Raw genomic sequence first — 27,985 nt, forward strand, 5'->3', positions numbered from 1 at the left:
TCTCTATGTGCAATAACCAGCATGCAGTCAAAGACAACCATGAACAGAAGCAACAAAACAACACTGCTATAACCAGCTCGGGTAGAGAGATCAGCCTGAACAATATTCCAACATGGTCAGTAATGGATTATAAAAACTGGGTGTTTTTAACGTTTAAAGTGGTTTAAAAATTTTTTTTTAATATTCTGGATACCTTTAATACATTTATGAACAAATACTGATGACAACTCATTTTAAATATATCAATAACTGAGAAAGGTGATATATTTCTTTTTGTGGCTCTATTGACCCTAATTGGTCAAAAGCACCTCATTTTGCAGGCTGTGGGTAAGGAAGAGGGGAAGAGAAAAGGAAAGGAGGCTGAAGAGGAACCAAAGCCCAGGATTCTCTAGAAATGCGTCATCCTCCAGAGTATGGGAGCACATTGGGTCCCAGCAACCTCAGCGGGACCTACTTCTCAGAAACACAAGAGTGTCCAATGGATGAAACCTCAGCTGAAAACATATAAATGTCCAAAGACATTGCAGGGTCTGGGAGGAACAAAGTATGATAAGGTTGTTAACTATCACGGACTCAGCAGGATCTGGGGGCATCACCAGTGGGGTTCCTCTCCCACTACCTTCAATAACCCAGGTGAAGAAGCAGGGGCAGCAGAGTAAGATTTAATTATGGGTTACGCTGTGGCTGGCAATATCCCAGGAGAAAAAAGAGTAAACTAAGCTATGTTTAGGGATGCATGCTTATATAGTAAAATGCTAAAGAAGAAAAAAAATAAAAGAAGCATTCCACATGAAAGTCAGATAAGTGGTTACACTTAAGGGGAGGAAGGTGGTTTTAACTGTGCAACTGGGAGGGGCACAAAAGGAGGCTTCCGGGGTACCAGAAATATTTTTCTTTCTTGATCTGGGGAGTACACATAATTCATAATTCACTAAGCCATGCATTTTTGTGTTTTGAACTTTTAGGAATATGATATATTTCAAAATTTAAAAAGAAAAAACTAAAATATGCTGAGATACATGAAACTTCAACTATAGAAGGACAAGGCAAGGTAAGGCACTGAGTAAGGGCTGAGCGAGGGTGGAAGGCAAGATCACTAAAAAAAAGAAGTTGCTACTGGGTCAGCTGGAAGGAGCGTCTACAAAAGAATCTTAATAGTATTCCCTATATCATTAATGAAGACAATAATCCACAGGTATCAGCAGTAGCTGTCTTTATTACCAATAGACAGCATTAAAAATGTTGACATTACCATTCTTGCAGATAACCTGGATTTATATTCATCAATTCATTGAACTAATCAATTTTAAAATTAAGGCCAGGCGTGGTGGCTCACACCTGTAATCCCACCACTTTGGGAGGCCGAGGTGGGCAGATCACCTGAGGTTGGGAGTTCTCGAGACCAGCCTGGCCAATATGGCGAAATCCCATCTCTACTAAAGATACAAAAATTAGCCAGGTACGATGGCATGCGTCTGTAGTCCCAGCTACTCGAGAGACTGAGGCAGAGAGAATTGCTTGAACCCAGGAGGTGGAGGCTGCAGTGAGTCGAAATTGCACCACTGCACTCCAGCCTGGGCGACGCAAAATTCTGTCTCAAAAAAAAAAACAGAAAAAGAAAAAAACTTCAGAATTAACATAGTTTTTAGGCCAGGTGCGGTGGGTCACGCCTGTAATTCCAGCACTTTGGGAGGACAAGGCGGGCAGATCACTTGAGGTCAGGAGTTCAAGACCAGCCTGGTCAACACAGTGAAACCCCGTCTCTACTAAAAATACAAAAAATTAGCCAGGCATGGTGGCAGGCGCCTGTAATCCCAGCTACTCGGAAAGCTGAGGCAGGAGAATTGCTTGAACCCAGGAGATGGAGGGTGCAGTGAGCCGAGATCATGCCACTGCACTCCAGCCTGGGCAACAGAATGAAACTCTATCTCTAAAAAAAAAAAAAAAAAAAAAAAAATGCTAAGCTTTTAAGTCCCCAAGGAATATGGCAAGACTTGAGTTTGAGAGTCAGGGGCTAATGTTCAAAAATGAGGATCCCTCATTCTAAAGATGTCTGCATATCTGCAGTCTCACCATTTAAAGAAACAGGTGGATTCTCCTTTTAACAACAGATCTTCTTTTGGATCCATCTTTTGAGCTTTGCATGGATATGTGTGTACAGATTTGTGTGGTTATGTGTGGGTACGGGAAAATATAAATACTAATTATCTGGATGACAAAATTACATATGGTTTGTATTTCTTTTCTTTATGCTTTCTGAATTTCCCAAATTATCTAGAACAAATCCTATGCAATTAACAAAAGTTAATTGTTTTTAGTCTTCTACCTATATAAGGTACAGCAAGCATTACGACAGCGTGTAAAAGACAAGCCTATAACTATAAACCACTAGATTGCTTTTACCAGTCCTAACAATTCTAAAATGAGTAGATAATATTTATTTATTTATTTATTCATTCATTTATTTAAAAATTAAGGAGACAAACATGGTGGCTCATGCCTGTAATCCCAGCACTTTCGGGAGGCTGAAGTAGGAGGATCACTAGAGCCCAGGAGTTCAAGACCCCGTCTCTAAAAAAAAATAACTAAAAATTAGCTGGGCCTGGTGGAATATGCCTGTAGTTCCAGCTTGAGCCCAGGAGGCTGAGTCCGTGATGAGCCGTGATCACATCAATGCAATTTATAGCCTGGGCGACAGAGCCAGACCCTGTCTCAAAAACAAATTAATAAAAAATAAAAAATACTATATTTAGTAAACCAACATACCAAAATTAAGTATTTCTACAGGTTTTGATCTAACACGTCCTTTTGATAAATATTTTCTTTATAGCATAAACTGGGCAAATATATAATAAACTTAGTAAGTAGTAATAGTAACAATTCAAACTCATCCAGTCAAGTCAAGCAAAGTGCTCATTTCACATCTCCTAAGTTTCTGGACTGGGAAGCCACTAACCCATTAGATTTTCCTCAATTTCAATTGCCTGAACAAAGGAGGCAGGAAGCAAACTACTACATAAAGTGAACTATAGCTAAGTTTATTTATTCAACAAAATTTAACAATCTAACATTGAAGTCCAAAACTGAAGTTGAAAACAGTTTCCTTGTTCCACAGAGGTACAAATTTTAAAGTACAGTACTGAAGAGTATCATACATTTGAAAGCTTACATATTTATTTAGCACATTCCTCCCCAACTTTCCCAATCATGTCTCTTAAAGGTTTTTACAGCTTGCTTCCATTGTAAGCTGCCTCCAGAAATGTCTCTTAAAGGTTTTTACAGCTTGCTTCCATTGTAAGCTGCCTCTAGAAATTTTTTATTTTTTTGGAAAGAGATAGAGTTTATAAAATAATTTCTACATTAAAAATTTCAGGTTGGGGGCAGTGGCTCACGCCTGTAATCCCAGCACTTAGGGAGGTCAAGGCAGGTGTCCCACTTGAGGCCAGGAGTTTGAGACCAGCTTGGCCAACACGGCAAAACCCTAAAGTGCAAAAATTAGCTGGGCTCCCTTGTAGCCTCCCAGCTACAAGGGAGGCTGAGGTTGCAGTGAGCTGAGATCGTGTCACTGCACTCCAGCCTAGGCAACAGAGCAAGACTCCGTCTCAAAAATACATACATACATACATAATATTTTATAAGTACTACAATCAACCTTAAAGGGAAGTAAAACAGTCCTTTCTCTAGTAAGACTCAACCTGTTTGGTAGGATGAAGACTACCAAAAGAAAAAAGCAGTACTTATTTCTTGTTAAAACAATGATAGCATCCTAGGGCGTATCAGTAGTTGCAGATATGAAAAATGAAAGCATAAATACTGGAATTATGCCACCTAATGTTTCTGGGACAACGTTTTTAAAAAAGTGAATAGAGGCGCTTGGAGACTGTTAGTTTTGAGAAATGATAAATAATAGTATTGAAACTAAGGTGGCAAGTGCGGGTTCAGAAACAGTAAAATACCTTTTTCATTTTTTACAAATTATTTTTATACCCTTAATTCTGTACATATCGATGAACCACCTCATCTTTGCTATATGCTTACTCACACAAAATGGAATTAACATCTTGGCTCTCCTAAAAAAGTCTTTGTTCCCAGACAGAGGTTCCCAGAGAGAGATTAGCAAACAAAAATTGGCAATTGACTGCTATTCTATATTAATCACAAGCCGATCACAAGTTAGAGTCTCTGAGCATTATAATGTTTACTCCTCAGTAAAAATATTACCTTTATGTTCCACATAAGGCTCCATATCCAAAATTTCTGAGAAGCCAATGTAGGTATTCAGCTTTTTCTTATGTCCAGTTTGCCTAACCAAGAGGAAAGCTGATTATATTTACATTTAAAACAATCATAATACAATATATAAGCTCTATTAGCTATTTTAATAAACTCAACAGTAGCTAGCTTTCACTTCACAATCTTCCTCCAAAACATGTACAATTAGAAGTAAACAGAATATTGTTTTATAGCTGGACAAATATGAGGTTAAAAAATGTGAATGCGAAGTGCTGATTCCAAACACAGCTTATTTTCCAGAAGTTTCAACTTAATCACAAAACAGATTATCCTGCTTTACAGAAGACATGCACATGTGCAAACATTGCCTTGATTTTAATTATAAAATGAAAAATACATTCCCATGGCGGGGGTGTAATGAGTACAAAATTTATTCTATTTAAAATAAAGGACAATACAGAAGGTCAGGGTAATTCAATTACTTGCAGTTTTTCTTTCTTTTTTTTTTTCCAAGACAGAGTTTCACTCTTGTTGCCCAGGCCGGAGTACAATGGTGCAATCTCGGCTCACTGCAACCTCCGCCTCCTGGGTTCAAGTGATTCTCCTGCCTCAGCCTCCCCAGTAGCTGGGATTACAGGCGCCTGCCACCACGCCCGGCTAATTTTTGTATTTTTAGTAGAGACGGGGTTTCACCATGTTGGCCCGGCTGATCTCGAACTCCTGACCTCAGGTGATCCACCTGCCTCAGCCTCCCAAAGTGCTGGGATTACAGGCGTGAGCCACCGCACCCGGCCCTTGCAGTTTTTAATACTTTCTTAGAATAAAAAAAGTAAGGATTTTTTACTTTTCTAGTTATCATTTATATATGGTTGGCTTCTTTAAAATTTTTTATGATAAAATCATGAAATATCGACATTTCAAAATGACAGCCTCCATCTATAACTTTCATCCTCAAATCTAGAGTTTCAAATTACAACCATTTTATCATCTCATCTATGGTAAAGTCTGTACATAGTAGACCACAATGAACAACAAACACTAATATTTGCACACATTTACCTGTCAAAGACAAAACGCATTAGCTGCAAGTTCAGAGTGCAAGGAAGGCTAAGAAGTCGAATCTTTCTTGTTGCATTCTGTTTGCTTTGACAGTTCTCGCAAAAATAGCGATTGTCTCCTTCTAATTTTTCTTCCTGATCAAGAATAAGACATATTAATTTTAAAAAGAAGATGGGTTTAAAACAAGTGATAAAACCCTTGATGTAAAGTATAATTTCATTTCAGTTAATAGCTCTCACTTAAGCTACTTAAAAACAGCTACTATAAATAATGGACACACAAAAGTAATGGGAACTGTTCAGCAGTGACATTATCAATTTGAATACACTGATATTTAAAACTGATGTGCCTATTTCCCAAATGTATGATATTAAAAATACTTGTTTTAGGTTCTTTGTCCTGGTAATCCCACTTCTGGGAATTCTAAAGTAAGTTTTAAAAAGAAATGTCACATGTATTTTGATGCAACATTCATTTAAAGACAGCAAAAAGGCTGGGCAACATGGCTCACGCCTGTAATCCCAACACTTTGGGAGGCCGAGGTGGGTGGATCACTTGAGGCCAGGAATTCGAGACCGGCCTGGCTGCCCAGGTGAAACCCCGTCTCTACTAAAAATACAAAAATTAGCCAGGCATGGTGGTACACACCTGTGGTCCCAACTACTCGGGAGGCTGAGACACAAGAATCACTTGAACCCGGGAGGTGGAGCTTGCAGTAAGCTGAGATCACACCTCTGCACTCCAGCCTGGAAACAAAGCGAGACTCTGTCTCAAAAAAATGAAGAAAAAAACAGGAGGGAGGAGGGTAGTGTAAAAACGATATATGGGCACCAGAATACAAAATTATATACATATTTGTTTAAAATTACTGAAACATATTCATGAGACAAAGCTAAAAAGAGACGTGTAGAAAAATCAAACATTTTAGCTGATAGTGGTTTCTTTTTAAAATTTGCCTTTATATTTCTATAAAGCTAATTGCAGCCAATCATAGCTAACCGAAGACTCAAACTCCTGAGCTCAAGCTTTTGTACCATATTGTACTTACCATATTGTAAGTAATGCAATACTGGTACCATCATCTCTTCACTTGGCTTCCAGGATACCACACTCACTGACTTGCCTCCTAATTCACTGGCATTCCTCCAGGGACTCCTGTGCCAGCTGCTCCTACCTCCCTGATCCCTAACATTTGAATGTCCCAGGCCTCAGTCCTTGTCTCTCTCCCACTCCCTTGGGGATTTTATCCAGCCACGACTTCTTCCTGGAACTATACCTCTCAAACGTAACATGCTCAAAGCCAAACTCCTAATTCCTCTCAACCCTGCTCCTCCCAGGTCCTCCCTATCTCAGTTAGAGCAACTCCATTCTTTCAGTTGATCAGGCCAAAAACCTTAGTAATCCTTGACTCCCCTCTTACTCTTACTCTCCACATCCAGTCTGCAAATTAAAAAAAAATTTTTTTTTCATTATTTTATTTTTACAGACAGGGTCTTGCTCTGTCACCAAGGCTGGGGTGCAGTGGTCCAATCATAGCTAACTACAGCCTCAAACTCCTGAGCTCAGGCAATTCTCCAGCCTCAGCCTCCTGAGTAGCTGGGATTATGGCTGTTCAACACCAAGCCTGGTTAATTTTTTTATTTTTTGCAAAGACGGTCTATCACTATGTTGCCTAGGCTGGTTTCAAACTACTGTTCTCAAATGATCCTACTGTCTCAGTCTCATAAAGTGCTGGGATTATAGACATGAGCCACCACATCTGGCTCCGGCCTGCAAATTTTATCTGCTCTTAGAAAATATATCTAAAAGCCAAATGGTGCTTATCACCTCTTCAGTTACCCCGTGGTCCAAGACACCATGCACTCCCATCTGCCCTCAATCCATCTTCAGCCTATTCTCAGCACCCATAGTTATCCCTTAAAACAGACTGTACCACTCCTACGCATATGACCCTGATGCCATCTCAACCTCACACAGAGTAAAAGTCAAACTTCTGACAAAGGTTTACTAGGCCCTCTCTGATATGGCCCTTGTGTCACCTCCACGACTTTATCTTCTATCATTTACTCACTTCGGCCACACTAACCGCCCCCCACCCAGGCTGTTCCTCAATCCACCAGGCAAGACACATTCTCATTTTGGGCTCTGCACTTGCTGTTTCATCTACCCAGAACACTCTTCTCCTTGTTTCTAACGGGGCTCACCCCTTCACCTTCAATCATTTTATTTCAAACTCCACCGACTCCAGCCTACTCCCCAGCACATTGCCCAGCGCCACATTCCCTGCTTTCTTCTTCTCCACAGCCCTTATTGTAGTTGACCCACTATATATTCGCACTTTATTTTACTGTCCCTCCCTTGTGCCTACACCACTACTTTGTAGGCTCCATAAAGGCTAATCCCCAACAGCTGAAACACTGCCTGACACAGTAAGCATTCAATAAATATTCATTGGCCAGGCGCGGTGGTTCACGTGTGTAATCCCAGCACTTTGGGAGGCCAAGGCAGGCGGATCACCTGAGGTTGGGAGTTTGAGACCAGCCTGACCGACATGGTAAAACCCTGTTTCTACTAAAAATACACACACAAAAAAAATTAGCCAGGTATGGTGGCCCGCGCCTATAATCCCAGCTACTCAGGAGGCTGAGGCAGGAGAATCGCTTGAATCCGGGAGGCGGAGGTTGCAATGAGCCAAGATTGTGCCATTGCATTCCAGCCTGGGCAACAAGAGAGAAACTCCATCTCAAAAAAAAAAAAAAAATTCAGCGAAATGAATTCAATGACTACTTCAGGCATGCCCATGGATGAGCTGAGGAAGTAAGAAAGCACAAAAAATATCTGAAGACAGCTAGCTAGCTAGCTAGATAATAAGCTTGTCTATTACACTATGTATACATTCATGCTTGACAACAAAGGGTTCCTCTTAGCAGTTTTCCACTCAGAACAGAAAGGAATCACTGAATTATCTCCACATGAATCTAAATATACAGAAAGCAGAATGACCATATCAATGTAAAAAAGTTTCATATTTAGCACATTCTCGTTTTCATTAGACAACAAGGTAAAATACCTTTATGATAACTCAGCATAGAGTTCTTTCAATACCCCACTACCCACAATCACAGAATAATATCTTCTCACACATACATAACTTTACATATAAAATAACTTGAAATAAGCAAAATTATTTTTAAGACACAGGCTGCTTTGGTACTTCATAAAGTGTCTTCTGGATCATTACAGATGCTTCTTATGTAGAAAAAGCTGACACAATAAAAGCTCTAGCCACTAAATCAAAACAGAATAGCATTCAGAACAGCATTTAACTGTTAATGGGCAGGAACAATACATACACCAAAATTTGAATACCTTCAAAAATTCCGAGATACAATCTGTTAACTGTTTGTGGCCTTGGATATTTAACTCCAGCTCATAAAATTTTGACAAAAGCTTAGACTCTCTGCCACACTGGTTGCAACTATAATAAAACAGAACGACAAAATTCAGATCAGAGTGTGAAAAGCAACAAAGTTATATTGTATTACATCCTAGAAAGATGGAAAAAAGCATTTATAACTTTCATTAGTTCTCCTTCACAGAAATTATGTATACTAAAAATGAAATATAATCCCAGCATTTTGGGAGACCAAGGCGAGTGGATCACAAGGTCAGGAATTCGAGACCAGCCTGACCAACACGGTGAAACCCCATCTCTACTAAAAATACAAAAATCAGCCGGATGTGGTGGCGCGTTCCTGTAATCTCAGCTACTCGGGAGGCTGAGGCAGGAGAATCGCTTGAACCTGGGAGGCAGAGGTTGCAGTGAGCCAAGATCACGCCACTGCACTCATCCTGGGCAACAGAGCAAGAGTCCATCTCAAAAAAAAAAAAAAAAAGAAAAGAAATAAAAACAAAGTGCCTGGTGAAGCTAAACATTCGTTGGGAAACTTTCTTAAAATAAATGTTAAGAGGTACAAGTGCAGTTTTGTTACATGAATATATCGCACTGTGGTGAAGTCTAGGTTTTAATGTAACCATCACCCAAATGTTGTATATTGTACTCATGCACATTTTTTTAACAGGCATTTTACATTTACTTTTAGTATTCTAGCCAGTTCCAATCTTACTCTTTAGCTCACACCACACAGCCATAAAGCAAGAGCAGACTGCAAGAGCTCACCCAGACACCGTTCCTAACACCTGGATGGGTGCAACTGCAATTACCAACTCACTTGTTTATATGTTCCCATGGAAATGTATTACTATAAATATTTCAGGTCCCATGATAAACCACTAAAGCTACAACCTGGAACTGCACTGAAAAATAGTTAACATATGAGCAACTGTCTTAGAATAAAATGTACCATGAAAAAGTTGAAACAGACTTACACAGTTACATAGGCATATTCTCCACAGAACTGCTGTTGAACAATATTGCGCACATCTGGATTCTTTTGTTTAGACAAAGTATCTTCCAATAGAGACATAAAGAGCTTTGAAAATTCTTGAGCATCCTACAAGTTTAGGTTAATGAAAAGAAAAATCATATCTTGCTTTTCAACTTCTACTACAAATAGTAATACATTCAACATTCCAGAAACTACCTATACTTTCAACTTAGCATTTTCAAACAGGGGCTACAGCTATGTTCAATCAGTTTGTGCCCCCATATGAATTTCCATAAATGGAATCAAGTATAATGTGTAAACTATTGGACAGTAAATAAAGGTTTTCATTCAAAATAGAAAAAATTTAATTTTTAAAAAGCATTCTACTTCATCTCCCTTTATAAACATGCTTAGGATGTTTGGGTACCTCTGAATATTTAAAAAAAAAAAAAAATTCAGTTCTTACCTGCTGTTGTCCAGTGTCCAGGCCCAAGGCTTTAACAAATCCTGATGGATCAATGTATCGCCTATTACTGTTTTGCAACAAGGCAAACAAGTACTGGAGATGCTCACAAATTGTTTGAGGCTCATAATCTATTAAAACAAAAATATAGATTTGGGGTTTTTTAAGGTGCTACTTTTCTTTCCAAAAAATGGTACTTCCTCTTCACATGAGAACATAAACATCTCTACATCCAAACTAGATTAATACTTTATTATCATTTTAAAACTTTAAAAGAAATAGGCTGAGCACGGTGGCTCATGCCTGTAACCCCAGCACTTTGGGAGGCCAAAGCAGGCAGATCACTTGAGATCAGAAGCTTGAGACAAGCCTGGCCAATATGGAGAAACCCCGTCTCCACTAAAAAAAATACAAATATTAGCCGGGTGTGGTGGTGCACACATGTAATCCCAGCTACTTGGGAGGCTGAGACACGAGCATCTATTGAGCGCGGGAGGAAGAGGCTGCAGTGAGGTGAGATCGCCAACAAAGTGAGACTCTCAAAAACAAAAAACAAGGCTGGGCACGGTGGCTCACACTCGTAATCCCCGCACTTTGGGAGGCAGAGGCGGGCGAATAATCTGAGGTCAGGAGTTCAAGACCAGCCTGGCCAACATGGTAAAACCCTGTCTCTACTAAAAATACAAAAAGTAGCTGGGTGTGGTGGCGAGCACCTGTAATCCCTGCTACTTGGGAGGCTGGGGTTCAAGGATAGCTTGAACCCAGGAGGTGGAGGTTGTGGTGAGCAGAGATCATGCCACTGCACTCCAGCCTGGATGACAGAGCGAGACTCTTTAAAAAAAAAAAAAAAAAAAAAAAAACTTTAAAAGACAGGGCTGGCGCAGTGGCTCAAGGCTGGAAGCAGTGGTTCACGCCTGTAATCCCAGCACTTTGGGAGGCCATGGCTGGCGGATCACAAGGTCGGGAGTTCCAGACCAGCCTGGCCAACATGGCGAAACCCCGTCTCTATTAAAAATACAAAAATTAGTGGGGCATGGTAGTACACGCCTGTAATCCCAGCTACTCGGGAGGCTGAGGCAGGAGAATCACTTGAACCCGACAGGCGGAGGTTGTAGTTAGCCAAGATTGTGCCACTGCACTCCAGCCTGGGCAACAGAGTGAGACTCCATCTGGGAGGAAAAAAAAAAAGAAATAGAATTAGCAACCATGTTTTGTGGAAGTCATGAGGCAGCCAGGACTGTCCATATACACTCCCCAAAGGCAAGAGCCTACCTGTATTAAAGCAACAACAGCAATCATGACTACAGTGTCTAGTCATGATTTTTTAAAGTCCAGTTAATGTGGACTTGGGATCTCAAGCACAGCAATTCACACTTAAGTGAAGAATACAAAACCGTAGAATTTTAGAGTTGAAAGTTTTAATGAGCTAGTGCAGGGAATGGAAGCAGAAAGCATGGATATTGAGAGCCCAGAAGACAGAAGTCTTATCTTCTTTAAGTTATTAACTTATTGCTTCTCAGCTCCAAATCTACCCTTCTTTGCCTGCTCAGTGATGAGAGATGGGCTCTGCAAATACTTCTCCTTTGCCAGTTATCAAGAAGGTAAGGCTTCTCAGTGAAGGGCACTGCAGGGTTTGGTTGTGCCTCTGTCACCAGCCTGCTGCAGATCAGCTTCCTCCAGGGCTCCAGGTTCCTGCCCCTAACAGTAGTCAGCAGCTTACCCAGCACCTCTTCTGATAGCTTCACAGTACAGTGCCTCCAGTGAGGCATTTCCTCTCGAATGACCACCCTGTGAATGGCCTCCCGGACACTCTCTCAGGTGACTCTGTAGGGGGTTCCAGGGCCCAGCACCTTCTCATGGACAGTTTCTAGTAGGGATTCCCAGGGAGGCATCTCAGCACCTTTTCAGCCACCCAGTGCATCCCAGCAGTGTCCAAAGAGGTCTGGATCTCAAGCCTGGGCCATGGGGGTGACAGACTATCCGTTGGATGTTCTCTTTCAGCCCCAGGGATACAGGTTGTTCCCTGTATCTGCTGTCCTTGTATTCTTTAAAATCCTCTTTAATCTTTAACTCTTATTAATCAATTCCTCATTTCTCTAATTAATTCTGTTATTAATTCTCAACTTTCCCTTTTCAAATTATTCTGTAGCTTCTGTCTTCTAACTGGACTATATTTATCTCCTTACTACCAACTGTGGCTTTCAGCAAGTCAATATATCATCTTCAAAATAAAGATAAAATATTACTCCTTGGCCTGCAAAAGCATTGCAGGCCAGTAAAAGCTATTCAAGGCCAGGTGCTGTGGCTCATGCCTGTAATCCCAGCACTCTGGGAGACCAAGGAAGGTGGATCGATTGAACCCAGGAGTTTGAGACCAGCCTGGGCAACATGGTAAAATGCTGTCTCCAAAAAAAACACAAAAATTAGCAAGAGGTGGTGGTGCATGCCTGTAGTTCCAACTACTCGGGGGGGCTCTGGCAGGAGGATTGCTTGAGCCTGGGAGGTTGAGGCTACAGTGAGCTGTGCTCGCACCAGCCTGGGCGAAAAAGTGAGATCTTGTCTCAAAAAACAAACAAACAATAAAAAAAAACCTTTTCTGTTCAAATTATTGTGTAGCTTCTGTCTTCTAATCAGACTCTGAATATTTGTATCCTTACTACCAATTGTGGCTTTCAGCAAGTCAATATACCATCTGTAAAATAAAGATAAAATATTACTCCTTGGGGTGCAAAGGTTTTGCAGGCTGGTAAAAGCTATTCAAGGCCTGGCACCATGGTTCATGCCTGTAATCCAGCACTTTTGGAGACCGAGACAGGAGGACTGCTTAAGGCCAGAAGTTCAAGACCAGCCTGGGCAACAGAGCAAGACACTGTCTCTATAAAAAAAATAAGTTTAGGCCAGGCACAGTGGCTCACACCTGTAATCCCAGCACTCTGGGAAGCCGAGGCGGGTGGATCACCTGAGGTCGGGAGTTCAAGACCAGCCTGACCAACATGGAGAAACCCCGTCTCTACTAAAAATACAAAATTAGCCGGGCGTGGTGGTGCACGCCTGTAATCCCAGCTACTCGGGAGGCTGAGGCAGGAGAATTGCTTGAACCTGAGAGGCGGAGGTTGTGGTGAACCGAGATTGTGCCATTGCACTAGAGCGTGGGCAACAAGTGTGAAACTGTCTTAAAAAAATAATAATAATAATAATAAAATAAGTTTAGGCTAGACACAGTGGCTCACACCTGTAGTCGCAGCACTTTGGAAGGCCGAGGCAGCCACATCACTTGAGGTCAGGAGTTCGAGACTAGCCTGGCCAACATAGTGAAACGCTGTCTCTACTAAAAATACAAAAACTAGCCAGGCGTGGTGGCGGGCGCCTGTAATCCCAGCTTCTCAAGAGGCTGAGGCAGGAGAATCGCTTCAGCCCAGGAGGCAGACGTTGCAGTGAACCGAGATGGCGCCACTTCACTCTGGCTTGGGAAACAGAGGAAGACTCAAAAAAAAAAAAAAAAAAAAGTTTAAAAAAATGTTCAGGAAGAGAGCTCTCCCCCACCCCTTTCCACCCACCTTTTTCTTCTTGGATGCCGTCTCCCAGCATGTAGTCACTACAAGTGCTTGGACATAAGTAGAGTGCCTGCCGAAGCTCCAAGTTGAGAAACCACACTTGAAGAAATGTGTTGACATAACAAGTGGCTCCAAGGTTAGTCAGGCCCACAAATGAGTTCTACAAAAATACAAAATTCATAATTATAAAACCCATTTTCCTTTAAACAACCAATTTCTAAGCATTATTCTTAAATTTTCAGATTAAAAATGTGTAAGACCGTCACAACCAACATGGTATAGCCACCTTAAGTTTCTCTTGGCTGGAGGTGGGGCATAATTTTCATGAAAGCCCCATTTTGGGTTGACCACAGGAGTGAAAAAGACTTCGGACGGCATCACTGCTCATCTCTAGCATATCGTCTTCTCCAGCCACTTAAATCTAAAATTAGAACAGTGGATTCTAGAAAAGATCGGTTTTGAACAAGCGTATATAGGTTTTATGTTTTCTGTATTTCTAAACTGCCAGCATTCAGCAGAATGACAAAGTAAAACTTATGCAGAAAACTTCCTTTATATTCTAGAGATTTTAAAGATTGGCGGTGGTAGAGGGAACTGGCTGCAACTTTTTCCAAAGATAAGGTTGGGAATTCCTGACCTTACAAAGAATTATTATTTTATTAAAATATCTATATATAACAAACTTGGATATTTCGTGAATGCTAAGATTTATGTCTAGAAAATTTAATGTATATTTTTAAAAAGCAAAATTATATATAAAATACAAGCCCTAGAAAGCAAAGTGCTATCATCATGAGTTTGTTCCCTTGAATTACCATCTCCTTTAAAGAGGCGTTAAGATTTCAAAATAAAACATGCAATGTTAAAGCAAACATAGAATCAGCATTCAAACTAAAACTATTATTTAAAGGCTTACTGAATTACGCAGCTGCCTGTTTTAAAGCATATCATTAAGAAGTGTTCCAATTCAAGTGGCTTAGAGTCTTAAGTTCTACTGCTTATCTTAAAGCTGCACAGGTTACCTGAAATCAGTAGAGTTTTCTGATCACAGGCCCAAAACAAAAGCAAAAACAAAAACAAAAAACAGCATATAGCAATCGCTTAAAAAATGATGGTTTACCTTTTTTCTCCTCTCACAGTTGGGATCATCGATGTTATGAAAACTATTTTCATCTATTTCTCCTAACCAAATATGCTCACCAATACCAACCAAGCAATTCGGATTTCCTTTGCAGTTTCGTCTAAGGGGAAAAAAAAAACCTTTAATTTTTAAAAGACCATAGTTTCATGAGAGACAAACAAATTAAAACTAAAATGAGATACCACTTCTCATCTATAAATTAGCAAAACTGAGAAAGTATAAGACACTCAGTTTGTGAGGGTGTGGAGAAGAAAGCATGCATATACTGCTGGTAGAAATGCAGTCACTAACAAAACTACATAGACAACTACCTTTAGACCTAGCAATCTCATTTCTGAGGATTTACTGTTCCTTAGGCTATACCTCCAACAATGCAAAATCTCACTCATAAGGTTATTCATTACAGCACTGTCTGTTAATTGCAAAATATTGGAAGCCACCCAAATGCCCAAAAATAGACAATATGGTACATCTATATGGCAGAGTACTATGCAACTGTAAAACACACACACACACACACACACACACACACACACACACAGCATGAAAAAGATATCTATGAACAGATATAAGGTAATTTATAAATCCAGGACACATTATTAAGTAAAAAAAGCAAAATGCAAAGGAGTATCTCTAGTATACTGTTATGTGTAAGAAATATATAAGGAAAATATACATGTACATATTTCTGCTCATTTTGTACAAAAAGAAATACAGAAAGGAAAAACAAGAGACTAATGAAATTGGTTACCTACAGAGCATGAGTGGGAATAAGGTTAAAAGAAAATACACCTTTTCGGCCGGACACAGTGGCTCACACCTGCAATCCCAGCACTTTGGGAGGCTGAGGCAGGCGGATAACAAGGTCAGGAGTTCGAGACCAGCCTGAAACCCTGTCTCTACTAAAAATACAAAAATTAGCCGGGCGTGGCGGTGCGGGCCTGTAATCCCAGCTACTTGGGAGGTTGTGGCAGAAGAATCCCTTGAACCCAGGACACGGAGGTTGCAGGGAGCCGAGATTACACCACTGCACTCTGGCCTGGGCGACAGAGCAAGACTCTGTCTTGGAAAAAATGAATGAATGAATGAATGAATGAATGAATGAATGAAAAGGAAATGTACCTTTTCATATAATGAACAATTTGGGACCATGTGACTGTTTCTCACACTACTTCACGCATGCACACAAACAAAAATAAATCAACTGGCTAGGCGTGGTGGTTCACGCCTGTAATCCTAGCCCTTTGGGAGGCCAAGGCAGGAGGATCACTTGAGGTTAGGAGTTTTGAGACCAGCCTGGCCAACATGGTGAAACCCTGTCTCTACTAGAAATACAAAAATTAGCCAGGTGTGGTGGTACACGTTTGTAACTCCAGCTACAGGCTGAAGACTGGAGGCTGATGCAGGAGAATTGCTTGAACCCAGGAGGCGGAGGTTGCAGTGAGCCAAGATCGTGCCACTGCACTCCAGCCTGGGCAACAGAGAGAGACACGGTCTCAAAAAAAAAAAAAAAAAAAAAAAAGGAATCAACAAGGATGACAGGAACCCTAAATTCAAAACAGAGAAAACATATTTCAACTAAATAAAAGATCCAGACTGAAGGGAAGGCAGGAGTGGGGGAGGGAGAGGGAGGGGGTGTGACTGACCAAAGTAACTTAAACAGTTATCAAGCTCATTTACTAGTACCCTCTGGCTAAAGACAAAAGGAACAAACAGCCAACTCTAATTAGTAGGCTTCTTTTCCATAGAGACATGGGTTAATAATTCTGAAACACAGATCCTGACTTCTAAATATTACCCACTAAAAGAATCCCGTGCTCCTTGGAGAAATAACTGGCTGATTCCAAGGCCAGGGCAGTGAAATTAGAAAACGAACCTACATCTTACTGTGCCCTAAAATGATGTACTGAAAGATGGTGGAGACATGTCAAAAGAGCACAAGAGTTGGCTGGAAGGGGAGGTCCCACTGGTCAAATTTGGCAACAAAATTTAGCAACAAAATGAGTAATAGGATTATAACCTACTGAATAAAGTAAGAATCCATCATTTCATGGTGAGATGGATGGAAGAAAAATCTCTTCCCTTTAGAAGAAAACCAACTATCAAAGTGGAAGGAATGACAGAATTAAAAATCTCCATTTGGCATACATCAGATTCAGAAAGGAATGAGGCAAGGATCATCACGGATGCTAACGTAGGCAAGTTGGAGAAATAACAATATTTACAATGTCTCAAAGTATCTCAGAAAAAGTTAATTACAAAGGGAAAGATAATAACTTTCAGTGGAGAAACTTGACAGACACCACCTTAACCAAATGCTTAAATTTAACACACCCAGTAATGAATCTAATTGACACCACACACCTTCTGGTATAATGCACAACACAGAATCACTTCTGTGATGTTCTGGCCAAAGATGCATGGCCTTAATTGAATCATGAGGAAACATCAGACCAAACCAACTCAAGGGACTTTATACAAAATAAGTCAGTGTCATGAAATACAAAGAAAGATTCACTAACAGTTCCAGATTAAAGGAAACCAAAGAGACACAACTGAATGTAACATAAGCTTAGGTTTTCTTTTGCTATAAAGGAACATTACAGGACAAAGTTCTGCAGATTTCTGTAGGATACCCACTAAAGGATTACTGATAACAGTAAAAGACTGGAAATTTATATGGAAGTAACAAAATAAATTACAATATAACCAAACAACAAAAACTACTGCTGTCAAAAAATAAAAAGGTAGGCCGGGCACAGTGGCTCACGCCTGTAATCCCAGCATTTTGGGAGGCCCAGGTGGGCGGATCACAAAGTCAGGAGTTCGAGACCAGCCTGGCCAACATGGTAAAACCCCATCTCTACTAAAAATACAAAAATTCGCCAGGAGTGGTGGCGGGAGCCTGTAATCCCAGCTACCCAGGAGGCTGAGGCAGGAGAAATCACTTGAAACTGGAAGGCGGGAGGGTGCAGTGAGCCGAGATCGTGCCACTGCACTCCAGCCTGGGCAACAAGAACAAAACTCTATCTCAAAAAAAATAAAAATAAAAATAAATTTAAAAAAAGGTAGGGAAAGCTTTTAATGTTGTGATATATAACGATATCATTAGTTGAAAAAAGGAAGGTGGGCCAGGCACAGTGGCTCACGCCTGTAATCCCAGCACTTTGGGAGGCTGAGGCAGGCGATCACCTGAGGTCGGGATTTCGAGACCAGCCTGACCAACATGGAGAAACCCTGTCTCTACTAAAAATACAAAATTAGCCGGGCATGGTGGCGCATGCCTGTTAATCCCAGCTAGTTGGGAGGCTGAGGCAGGAGAACTGCTTGAGCCCAGCAGGGTGAAGGTTGTGGTGAGCCAAGATCACGCCATCGCACTCCAGCCTGGACAACAAGTGGAAACTTTGTCTCAAAAGAAAAAAAAGAAAAAAAAAAAGGAAGGTACAAAACACTGCATATCATGTTGCCATGTTTTTTATTTACAAATGGGGTAAACACACCCGTTTGTTTAGATAGAAGAGTACATTATAAACTGGAAACAACCTTATCGGCAAAGATTATCTCTGTACTTGCCAGCTATAAGTCAGAAGTAAATAACACTCTGAACTTCCTTTTTTTTTTTTTTGAGACTCCCATACTGAAGTGGCATGTTCATGGCTCACTGCAGCCTCTACATCCTGGACTCAAGTAATCCTCCAGCCTCAGCCTCTGGAGTAGCTGGGAGGTGCATGCCACCATACTTGGATAATTTTTTATTTTATTTTTTGTAAAAACAGGGTCTTGCCATGTTGCCCCAGGCTGACCCCATCACTTTTTATACCTTTCAGACTTTGAACAATAAAATGTGTTACATATTCCAAAAATAAGTAAATAATTGTTTTAATGTTCAGTTTAAACATACTGTCTTCTAAAATATAAAAATGAAGCTGGGTGTGGTGGCACATGCTTATAGTGCCAGCTATTCAGAAGGCTCAGGCAGAAGATGGCCTAAGCCTAGGAGTTGGAGGCTGCAATGAACTATGATTGCACCTGTGAACAGCCACTGCACTACAGCCTGGCCAACAAAGTGAGACCCTGTCTCTATTTTAAAACTTTTGAAAAAATAAAAATGAAAACAAGTTCGACCAATTTAAGAACAGTTTTGTCAGCTTATATCAAAGCTAGGAGGGAAAAAAGCTTATTAATGAAATAAAGTAGAACCCATCCACTGTGGGGAGAAGAAGCTAGGGTTTTGTTTTAGTGCTTATAACTCATCTCTAATGGGAAAGGTCTACTATAAGAGAGTTAAAGAAACAAAACTGGCCGGGTGCAGTGGCTCCTGCCTGTAATCCCCAGCACTTTGGGAGACTGAGGTGGGCAGATCACTTGAGGCCAGAAGTTCAAGACCAGCCTGGCCAACATGGCAAAACCCCGTCTCTACTAAAAATACAAAAATGTGCCAAGCGTGGTGGCGTGTGCCTATAATCCCAGCTACTTGGGAGGCTGAAGTGAGAGAACCGCTTGAACCAGGAAGGCAGGGTTTGCAGTGAGCTGTGATCGCACCAGTGCATTCCAGCCAGGCTGGGCAACAGAGCGAGACTCGTCTCAAAAAAAAAAAGAAGAAACAAAACTGATTCTGAGACTGAGAAAAGTAACAGAAAATCTCTCCTGGGAACAGTGACAAGGATATACTAGGAAGGTTCTTTCGAAAGAAAATTACAGCTAGTGGCAATGGACTCTCCCAAAGGTCTTTGGCAGATAGGAAAAAATAGTGTCAGTAACCATGGTGAAAATATACCTCTAAAACAAAGTAGGCACTTATTTTGTCAATCCTTTCAACTCTGCTTTTCAAAGGTGTAATATCAAGTCTTGTTTGTTCACTCCCTCCTCTTGGACAAGTGGGTGGTAAAAATTTTTCACACGGGCCGGGCGCGGTGGCTCACGCCTGTAATCCCAGCACTTTGGGAGGCGGAGGCGGGTGGATCACGAGGTCAGGGGTTTGAGACCAGCCTGACCAACATGGTGAAACCCCATCTCTACTAAAAATACAAAAATTAGCTGGACGTGGTGGCAGGCGCCTGTAATCCTGGCTACTCAGGAGGCTGAGGCAGGAGAATTGCTTGAACCTGGGAGGCGGAGGTTGCAGTGAGCCGAGATCACGCCACTGCACTCCAGCCTGGGCGACAGAGCGAGACTTCATCTCAAAAAAAAAAAAAAAAAAAAAAATTCACACGACCTGGCTGGGGAAACAGATACTCCCATGTGTCAAACACAGACATCATTCTCAGAAAATAGTTCCACTGGATCTGTTTAGATTTTAGTCTCCAGTTCCTGATAGCAAAATAATTCAGACAATGAAGAAAAGGTAGGCTCTCCCTGTCCCCACCCAAAAATCATGCATACTCAACTGGTTCTAAAGCTGGCATCAAAAGGCAAACACAACCTATGGCCTAAATATTACCACAATAAGACTTTCAAAAGCTACTATGAGAAGCTGGGAGCAATCTGTATTATTAGGCCCCACAACACTGGCATTGTTCTTTTTAAATTTTCTTAAATTAATTGCTTGCTAGGTATCACTGAATACGTCTTCAGTCGGCTAGAACACCACCACAGCAGAATGCCAAGTGCAGGTGACCTGTGATAGACTACCACCCCAGGCCAAACCTATGGCTCCCGAGCCTCTATGGCCACACTTCAGGTGGGAACCAAAAAGCCAATGGCGGTGCTTTGCATTAAAAGGGCTTGGGCTTTCTAAACTTCTAAATTGTTGCTAAGCCTTTCATACATAGCCCAATATGGGGGGGCGGGGTTGTGTTTGTTCTCTTACTTGGAGAGGTAAAGAATCTACTTAACAAACACAAATAACAGCTGGGCGCAGTGGCTCACGCCTATAATCCCAACACTTTGAGAGGCCAAGGCGGGCAGATCACCTGAGGTCGGGAGTTCGAGACCAGCCTGGCTGACATAGAGAAACCTCGTCTCTACTAAAAATACAAAAAATTAGCCAGGCGTGGTGGCACATGCCTGTAATTCCAGCTACTCAGGAGGCTGAGGCAGGAGAATCACTTGAACCCAGGAGGCAGAGGGTGCGGTGAGCCGAGATCATGCCATTGCACTCCAACCCTGGTAACTAGAGAGAAACTCTGTTTCAAGAAAAGGAAGGGAGGAAGGAAGGGAGGGAGGGAGGGAGGACGGATGGACAGGCAGACACAAATCACAGTTCTAATTATAAGCTGTTACTTCTAAAGCCAGCCTTAGCAGCACAGCAGAATGCCAACCACAGAGGGCTGTAGCCTCTCCCATTCGTCATTCTCCAATGCCCCTAACTCCATTTTATCCCTCCTTAGGAGTAGGCCCCAGGTATCAAGGATCATTTATCATCATGTGTGTGCCAATTTCCTTACAGTAGAAAAACAGTTATGTGTACCTGTGTCTATCAACTATCAAAACAGATCAAGGAGGTTGAGTGTTTCACAAAATATGAGACAGTGTCTGGGAGCAGTGGTTCACACCTGTAGTCCCAGCAATTTGCAAGGCTGAGGCAGGCAGATCACTTGAGGCCAGGAATTTGACACCAGCCAGGCCAATATGGCGAAAACCCATCTTTACTAAAAATACAAAAAATTAGCCAGGTGTGGTGGCATATGCCTATAGTCCCAGCTGCTCAGGAAGCTGAGACAAGAGAATTGCTTGAACCCGGGAGGCAGAGGCTGCAGTGAGCTGAGATCACGCCACTGCACTCCAGCCTGGGCATCAGAGAGAGACCCTGTCTCCAAAAAAAAAAAAAAGCCTGGGCGCAGTGGGAGGCCGAGGCTGGTGGATTATGAGGTCAGGAGTTCAAGACCAACCTGGCCAAGATGGTGAAACCCTGACTCTACTAAAAATACAAAACTTAGCCAGGTATGGTGGCAGGTGCTTGTAATCCCAGCTACTCTGGAGGCTGAGGCAGAGAACTGCTTGAACCCGGGAGGCGGAGGTTGCAGTGAGCCGAGATCGTGATTGTGCCACCCCACACCAGCCTGGGTGACAGAGTGGCACTCCGTCTCAAAAAAAAAAAAAAAAAAAGACTTGATTACATAGGCATGACTGATTGAATCACTGGCCACTGGAGATTAGCAACCTTTAGTCCTCTCCCCTCCCAGAGGTCAGACTAAAAAGTTCTAAACCTCTCATCGTGGTTGGTTCTCCTGGCAACCAGCCCATGTGGAGGCTACCAAGAGCTCCCAGCCATCAGTCATTTCATTAGCATACAAAAAGACACTTAGTCACTTCAGAGATCCCAAAGGTTTTAGGAGCTGTGCCAGAAGTAGTACAAAGACTAAGCATATATTTCTTATAAATCAAAATATCATATAACCCTGCAGGAAAAATAACTAAAGAAAACATCTCAAAAATGTTAAATGACAACAATGTTTTTGTTTCAATAATTCTACTTCTGGGCACAGGTCCACCAAACTTGAGTAATAACAGCACAATGGCAATGCCATAGTACGATAAGGAATTCAGATAATTTAATGGGTACTTTGTTCCAAGACTGCACTGTATGAGAACACCAACGTGTTAGGCAGAGGATAGGTTCCAAAAGGTTTGGTTATGACGTACTAAGCAGACATCTGCTGTGATTTTAGGCCAGGGACACACTTTGGCAGCAGTAAACAGGACAGACCGGGCGGGGTGTGGTAGCTCATGCCTGTAATCCCAGCATTTTGGGAGGTCGAGGCAGGCGGATCACTTGAGGTCAGGAGTTTGAGACCAGCCTGGCTAATATGGTGAAACCCCGTTCTCTACTAAAAATTCAAAAATGTGCCAGGCATGGTGGCACGCGCCTGTAGTCCCACCTACTCCAGAGACTGAGGCAGAAGGCTCGCTTGAACCCGGGAGGCGGAGGTTGCAGTGAGCCGAGATCACGCCACTGCACTCAAGTCTGGGTGACAGAGCGAGACTCTGTCAAAAAAAAAAAGGGGGGGACAGCCCGAAGCTGAACAAGGCATGAGACGTTCCGAAGCTAAACAAGGTGTGAGACATAACTAACAATTTTTCTAGTGGAAGATGAGGTCTTAAAAAGCCAATTTAGGCCGGGTGTGGTGGCTCACACCCGTAATCCTAGCCCTTTGGAAGGCTGAGGTGAGTGGATCACCTGAGACAGGAGAATAGTTTGAAACTACGAAGCCGAGGTTGCAGTTAGCCGAGATCCCATGGTGCTCCGGCCTGGGCAACAAAGTGAGACTCCATCTCCAAAAAAAAAAAAAAAAAAAAAAAAAAAAAAAAAAAAGGCAATTCAGTGGGAATAGGAATGGAGGAAGTTCAAGCATATTGATGGGAAGAAATCAATAGAACTGGGGACTAATAAGATGCAACAGGCAAGAAAGGAAAGGAGAAATCTGGAATGATGCCCAAAATTGTAACAAAAAGATTTTCCAGGCTGGATGTGGTGGCTCACACCCGTAGTCCCAGCACTCTGAAAGGCCGAGGCGGGAGGATCACTTGAGGCTAGGAGTTCAAGACCAGCCTGGCCAACGTGGCAAAACCCTACTAAACTTCTACTAAGAATATAAAAATTAGCTGGGTTTGGTGGCGAATGCTTGTAATCCCAGCTACTCCAGAGGCTGTCATGAGAATCACTTGAACCCGGGAGGCGGAGGTTGCAGTGAGCTGAGATCATGGCACTGCACCCTAGCCTAGGTGACACAGCACAAAAAAAAACAATGTTCCACAAGTCAAAAATTGTGTTCAGGGAGTAGAAAAGTAGTAGGCTAGGTATCAAAGGGTATGAATGACTAAGTTCCTTCTATAATATATTGACTATAGGTAGGAGATACACTTTCAGTTCTGTTTTGGTAGATCTCCAATGATCTGTCATTTAAGAGTACACACGATGAGTGGAAAATTTATAATCAAAGATTTCACAGTTGCTATGCAGTTCAAAGATTCATCCTTTGAATGGGAAAGGGGGTAGGGATTTCACTCCAAATGGTCATTTACAGAGGTTCTGCTTCTTCCTCATCACCTCTTAGTTTCTTAGTTTTTATTTATTTATTTATGAGATGGAGTGTCGTTCTGTTGCCCAGGCTGGAGTGCACTGCAACCTCTACCTAACGGGCTCAAGACATTCTCCTGCCCGAGCCTCCTGAGACTCATGCCTGTAACCCAGCACTTTGGGAAGCTGAGTCGAGTGGATAACTTGAGGTCAGGAGTTCCAGATCAGCCTGGCCAACATGGCAAAACCCCGTCTCTACTACAAATACAAAAATTAGCCGGCGTGGTGGCGGGCATCTATAAACCCAGCTACTTGGGAGGCTGAGGCAGGAGAATCGCCTGCACCCAGGAGGCGGAGGTTGCAGTGAGCCAAGATCATGCCATTGTACTCCAGCCTGGGTGACAGAGCAAGACTCTGCCTCAAAAAAACAAAAAACAAGAACAACAACAAACAAAATCCATGGCCTCCTGGGCACTCAGGGTGTATAATACTCTACTCCCAGGCTCAGGTGATCTTCCCACCTCAGCCTTCCAAATAGCTGGGACCACAGGCATACGCCACCACACCCGGCTTTTTTGTATCATTTGTAGAGATGGGGTTTAGCCTCATTGCGCAAGCTGGGCTAGAATTCCTTGACTCAGGATTATAGGCATGAGCCACTGTGCCTGGGACCTTTTTTATTTTTATTTTTTGAGACGGTGTCTCGCTCTGTTGCCCAGGCTAGAGTGCAGTGGTGCAGTGGCTCAATCTCAGCTCACTGCAACCTCCACCTCCTGGTTTCAAGTGATTCTCCTGCCTCAGCCTCCCGAGTAGCTGGGACTCCAGGTGTGCGTCACCATGCCCGGCTAATTTTTGTATTTTTAGTAGAGATGGAGTTTCACTATGTTGGCCAGGCTGGTCTCGATCTCCTAACCTCGTGACCTGCCCACCTCGGCCTCCCAAAGTGCTGGGATTACAGGCATGAGCCACCGCGACCCGGCCAGGACTTTTTAGAGAGCTTTTTTTTTTTTTCTAGAGACAGGGTCTCACTACGTTGCCTGCTTACAAATAAATTGTTTTTAAAGAAAAATTTTTTGAAAAATCATTGAAGAAGGAAACTAGTTTACTTAAAACACTAAAGTACAGATTTTCCTGAAAGTGAAAATAAAGGAGAACCATGATAATATAAATTCTAGGTTCTAGTTACTAAAAACTTTACAGTGATTTTCATGTAATGCCTCATGGCATTACTGTATCAAGGTCTCATAAATTAGACATGCAAGAAATAAGCAAATCTAAAAACAGGTCAGGCATGGTGGCTCACGCCTGCAATCCCAGCACTCTGGGAGGCCGAGGCGGGTGGATCACAAGGTCAGGAGATCGAGACCATCCTGGCTAACATGGTGAAACCCCGTCTCTACTAAAAATATAAAAAAGTAGCCGGGCATGGTGGCGGGTACCTGTAGTCCCAGCTACTCAGGAGGCTGAGGCAGGAGAAAGGCGTGAAGCTGGGAGGCAGAGGTTGCAGTGAGCTGAGATTGCACCACTGCACTCTAGCCTGGGCAACAGAACAAGACTCCGTCTCAAAAAAAAAAAAAGAGTTTGCAAAATAGAAAAGTCTCAGCAGGTACCTCACTCAACTCCAATATGGAAAAATTCTCCAGCCCTACAGAGACTGAGCAGTGCATCAAGTCCCTGATTGCTATTTTCCAGGAGGATGCTGGAAAGGATGTCACAACCGCAAACTCTCCAAGAGGGGAGCCCCTCAGTTTCATGAATACAGAACTGGCTGCCCTCACACAGAACCACAAGGACGCTGGTGTCCTTGACCACATGATGAAGAAACTAGACCTCAACTGTGACAGGCAGTTAGATTTCCAAGAATTGCTTAATCTTTTTTGTTTCCCTCATCTCAGACTGAAAAATTTCTTAATCTTATTGGCAGCATGGCCCTAGTTCATCATAAGCCATGACTGTTTTATCATGGCTACCTATTCCCAGAAGCAAATCTAAGGAGGGTCTTGCCTTCAAGCCCCACCCCTTTCAAGCCCCACCCCCCCTTTCCTTCTAGGATCTCAGTCACCATCTTCTCCTCATGGCTCCCATACACCCTAAGCCCAGCATACCCACCACCCGTGTAGGCCACTCCTGCTAGTAGTAATAAAACAGTATCGTTTTGGTTTTGGTTTGTGTTTTGAGGCAGGGTCTTGTTCTGTTGCCCAGGCTGTGGTGCAGCAGTAAAATCATAGCTCACTGCAGCCTGGTCTTCCTGGCCTCAAGTGATCCTCCCGTCTTTGCCTCCCAAACTGCTGGGGTTACTAGCTTAAGCCACTGCACTTGGCCCAATATCATTTTTTAAAACACACACACAGTCTCGTCATGTATTTAATTTTAAGTATTTGTGTTCGTTTTCCCCATGTATGTCTCCCTTTTGCTTTGAGTTGTTGCTTTTGCTAACATCAGACATGTTCATGATTAGCAGTCATTCAATCCTCTGCTACTTTGCTAAAGTCATAGAGATCAAGTAACGTCAAATTATTCCATGATCTTACTTCCCAACTGATGAGAATAATCAATTCCAGGTTGACTGTAGACCTAAGCATGAAAGATAAAGCAATACAACTTATAGAAATAACACAGGAGAATATTTAGGACTCTGGGGAAGATAAATCTTTATCTTATGGGAGCTACATGATGAGAACTTCTGAACACAAAGAGAACTTACGAACACAAAGAACAATAGACGTTGGGGTCTTACTTGGGGGTGGAGGGTGGGAGGAGGGAGGGGAGCAGAAACAATTTTTTTTTTTTGAGGCAGGGTCTCGCTGTCACCCAGGCTAGAGTACAGTGCCAAGATCTCAGCTCACTGCAACCTCCGCCTCCTGGGTTCAAGCAATTCTCCCACCTCAGCTTCCCAAGTAGCTGGGATTACAGGCATGCACCACCACGTCTGGCTAATTTTTGTATATTTATACAGATGGGTTTTCACCATGTTCCCCAGGCTGGTCTTGAACTCCTGGCCTCAAGTGTCCACCTACCTCAGCCTCCCAAAATGCTGGGATTAAAGGCGTAAGCCACTGCGCCGGGCCTACAAAAAAATTTTGAATTAGCCAAACATGGTGGTGAGTATCTGCAGTCTCAGCTACTGGGGAAGCTGAAGTGGAAGGACCACTTAGACAGACCCCAGAGGCCAAGGCTGCAGTGAACTGTGATCACATCATGTACTCCAGCCTGGGTGATGAAGTGAAATCCTGTATCAAAAAGAAAAGAAAAAAAAGGACACTAAAATATATATGCAGAATGTTCACTGCAGCTTTATTCATAATGACCAAATACATGGAAAAATCAAAATGACCATCACTAGTAGAAAGGAATATAATATATAGTATATACTCACACACTGAAATAATGTACAGCACTGTTGGTCCCATTGGCTCATGCTTATAATCCCAGCACTTTGGGAGGCTGAGGTGGGCAGATTGCTTGAGCCCAGGAGTTCCAGACTGGCCTGGGCAACATATTGAGACCTCGTCCTCCACCAAAAAAAAAAAAAAATTGTACAGCACTAGAATTGAACACACTACTGCTTACACATAAATTAATCTTATAAAGTTGAGTGAAAGAAAACAGAAGCAGAAGGAATGACAATGTATGAATATACATAAAGTCCAACATAGGCAAAATAATCTGCTCAATTCAAAGTTAAGGGTAAGTGGTTCCCTTCAAGGAAAAGAGGCAGAAGTAACTGGTAGTAGAAAAATGGAAGATAAGGGTGTCTTGAAGTGTTAGTAATGTTTTGATCTTGGTGGTAGATATGGGACAGATAAATTTCTTTTGTGATAATTAGTCAATCAAGTGTCTTTTTTTTTTTTTTTTTTTGAGACAGAGCTCACTCTGTTGCCCAGGCTGGAGTGCAGAGGCATGATCTCAGCTCACTGCAACCTCCGCCTCCCAGGTTCAAGCGATTCTCCTGCCTCAGCCTTCTGAGTAGTGGGACTACAGGCGCGCACCACCATGCTCGGCTAATTTTTTGTATTTTTAGTACAGACAGGGTTTCACCATATTGGCCAGACTGGTCTCGAACTCCTGACCTCAGGTGATCCGCCTGCATCGGCCTCCCAAAGTGCTGAGATTACAGGCATGAGCCACTGCACCTGGCCAATCAAGTGTTATTCTTATGATTTGTGTGCTTTTCTGTATGTAAAAAAA

The 27,985-nt window shown here is 42.3% G+C and overlaps 1 protein-coding gene across 16 annotated transcripts in view, besides 2 other annotated features; it reads right to left on the reverse strand.

The window, feature by feature from the left end:
• USP48 (ubiquitin specific peptidase 48) overlaps positions 1–27,985 on the reverse strand; it is a 104,852-nt gene that overhangs the window by 64,548 nt on the left and 12,319 nt on the right. For 15 of the 16 annotated variants that reach the window (XM_047432030.1, NM_001350164.2, NM_001350166.2 and 12 more), the window contains exons 2-8: positions 14,818–14,938; positions 13,701–13,857; positions 10,147–10,274; positions 9,682–9,806; positions 8,662–8,770; positions 5,293–5,426; positions 4,222–4,304 (exon numbers count right to left, since the gene is read on the reverse strand). In XM_047432030.1, the coding sequence (XP_047287986.1) occupies positions 4,222–4,304; positions 5,293–5,426; positions 8,662–8,770; positions 9,682–9,806; positions 10,147–10,274; positions 13,701–13,857; positions 14,818–14,938 (857 nt within the window). Of the gene's footprint in view, positions 1–4,221; positions 4,305–5,292; positions 5,427–8,661; positions 8,771–9,681; positions 9,807–10,146; positions 10,275–13,700; positions 13,860–14,817; positions 14,939–27,985 lie in introns of those variants that run through there. The other variant, XM_011542264.2, reaches the window with a different exon arrangement.
• Positions 11,882–11,981: a silencer, noted in NCBI's record as "silent region_388". NCBI's record gives its function as "represses an Ori minimal core promoter by ATAC-STARR-seq in GM12878 lymphoblastoid cells {active_cell/tissue: GM12878}" and the evidence as "EXISTENCE:reporter gene assay evidence [ECO:0000049][PMID:35858748]".
• Positions 19,057–19,136: an enhancer, noted in NCBI's record as "active region_336". NCBI's record gives its function as "activates an Ori minimal core promoter by ATAC-STARR-seq in GM12878 lymphoblastoid cells {active_cell/tissue: GM12878}" and the evidence as "EXISTENCE:reporter gene assay evidence [ECO:0000049][PMID:35858748]".

Source organism: Homo sapiens, chromosome 1, assembly GCF_000001405.40.
Source record: "Homo sapiens chromosome 1, GRCh38.p14 Primary Assembly".
In the NCBI taxonomy this organism is placed as follows: Eukaryota; Metazoa; Chordata; class Mammalia; order Primates; family Hominidae; genus Homo; species Homo sapiens.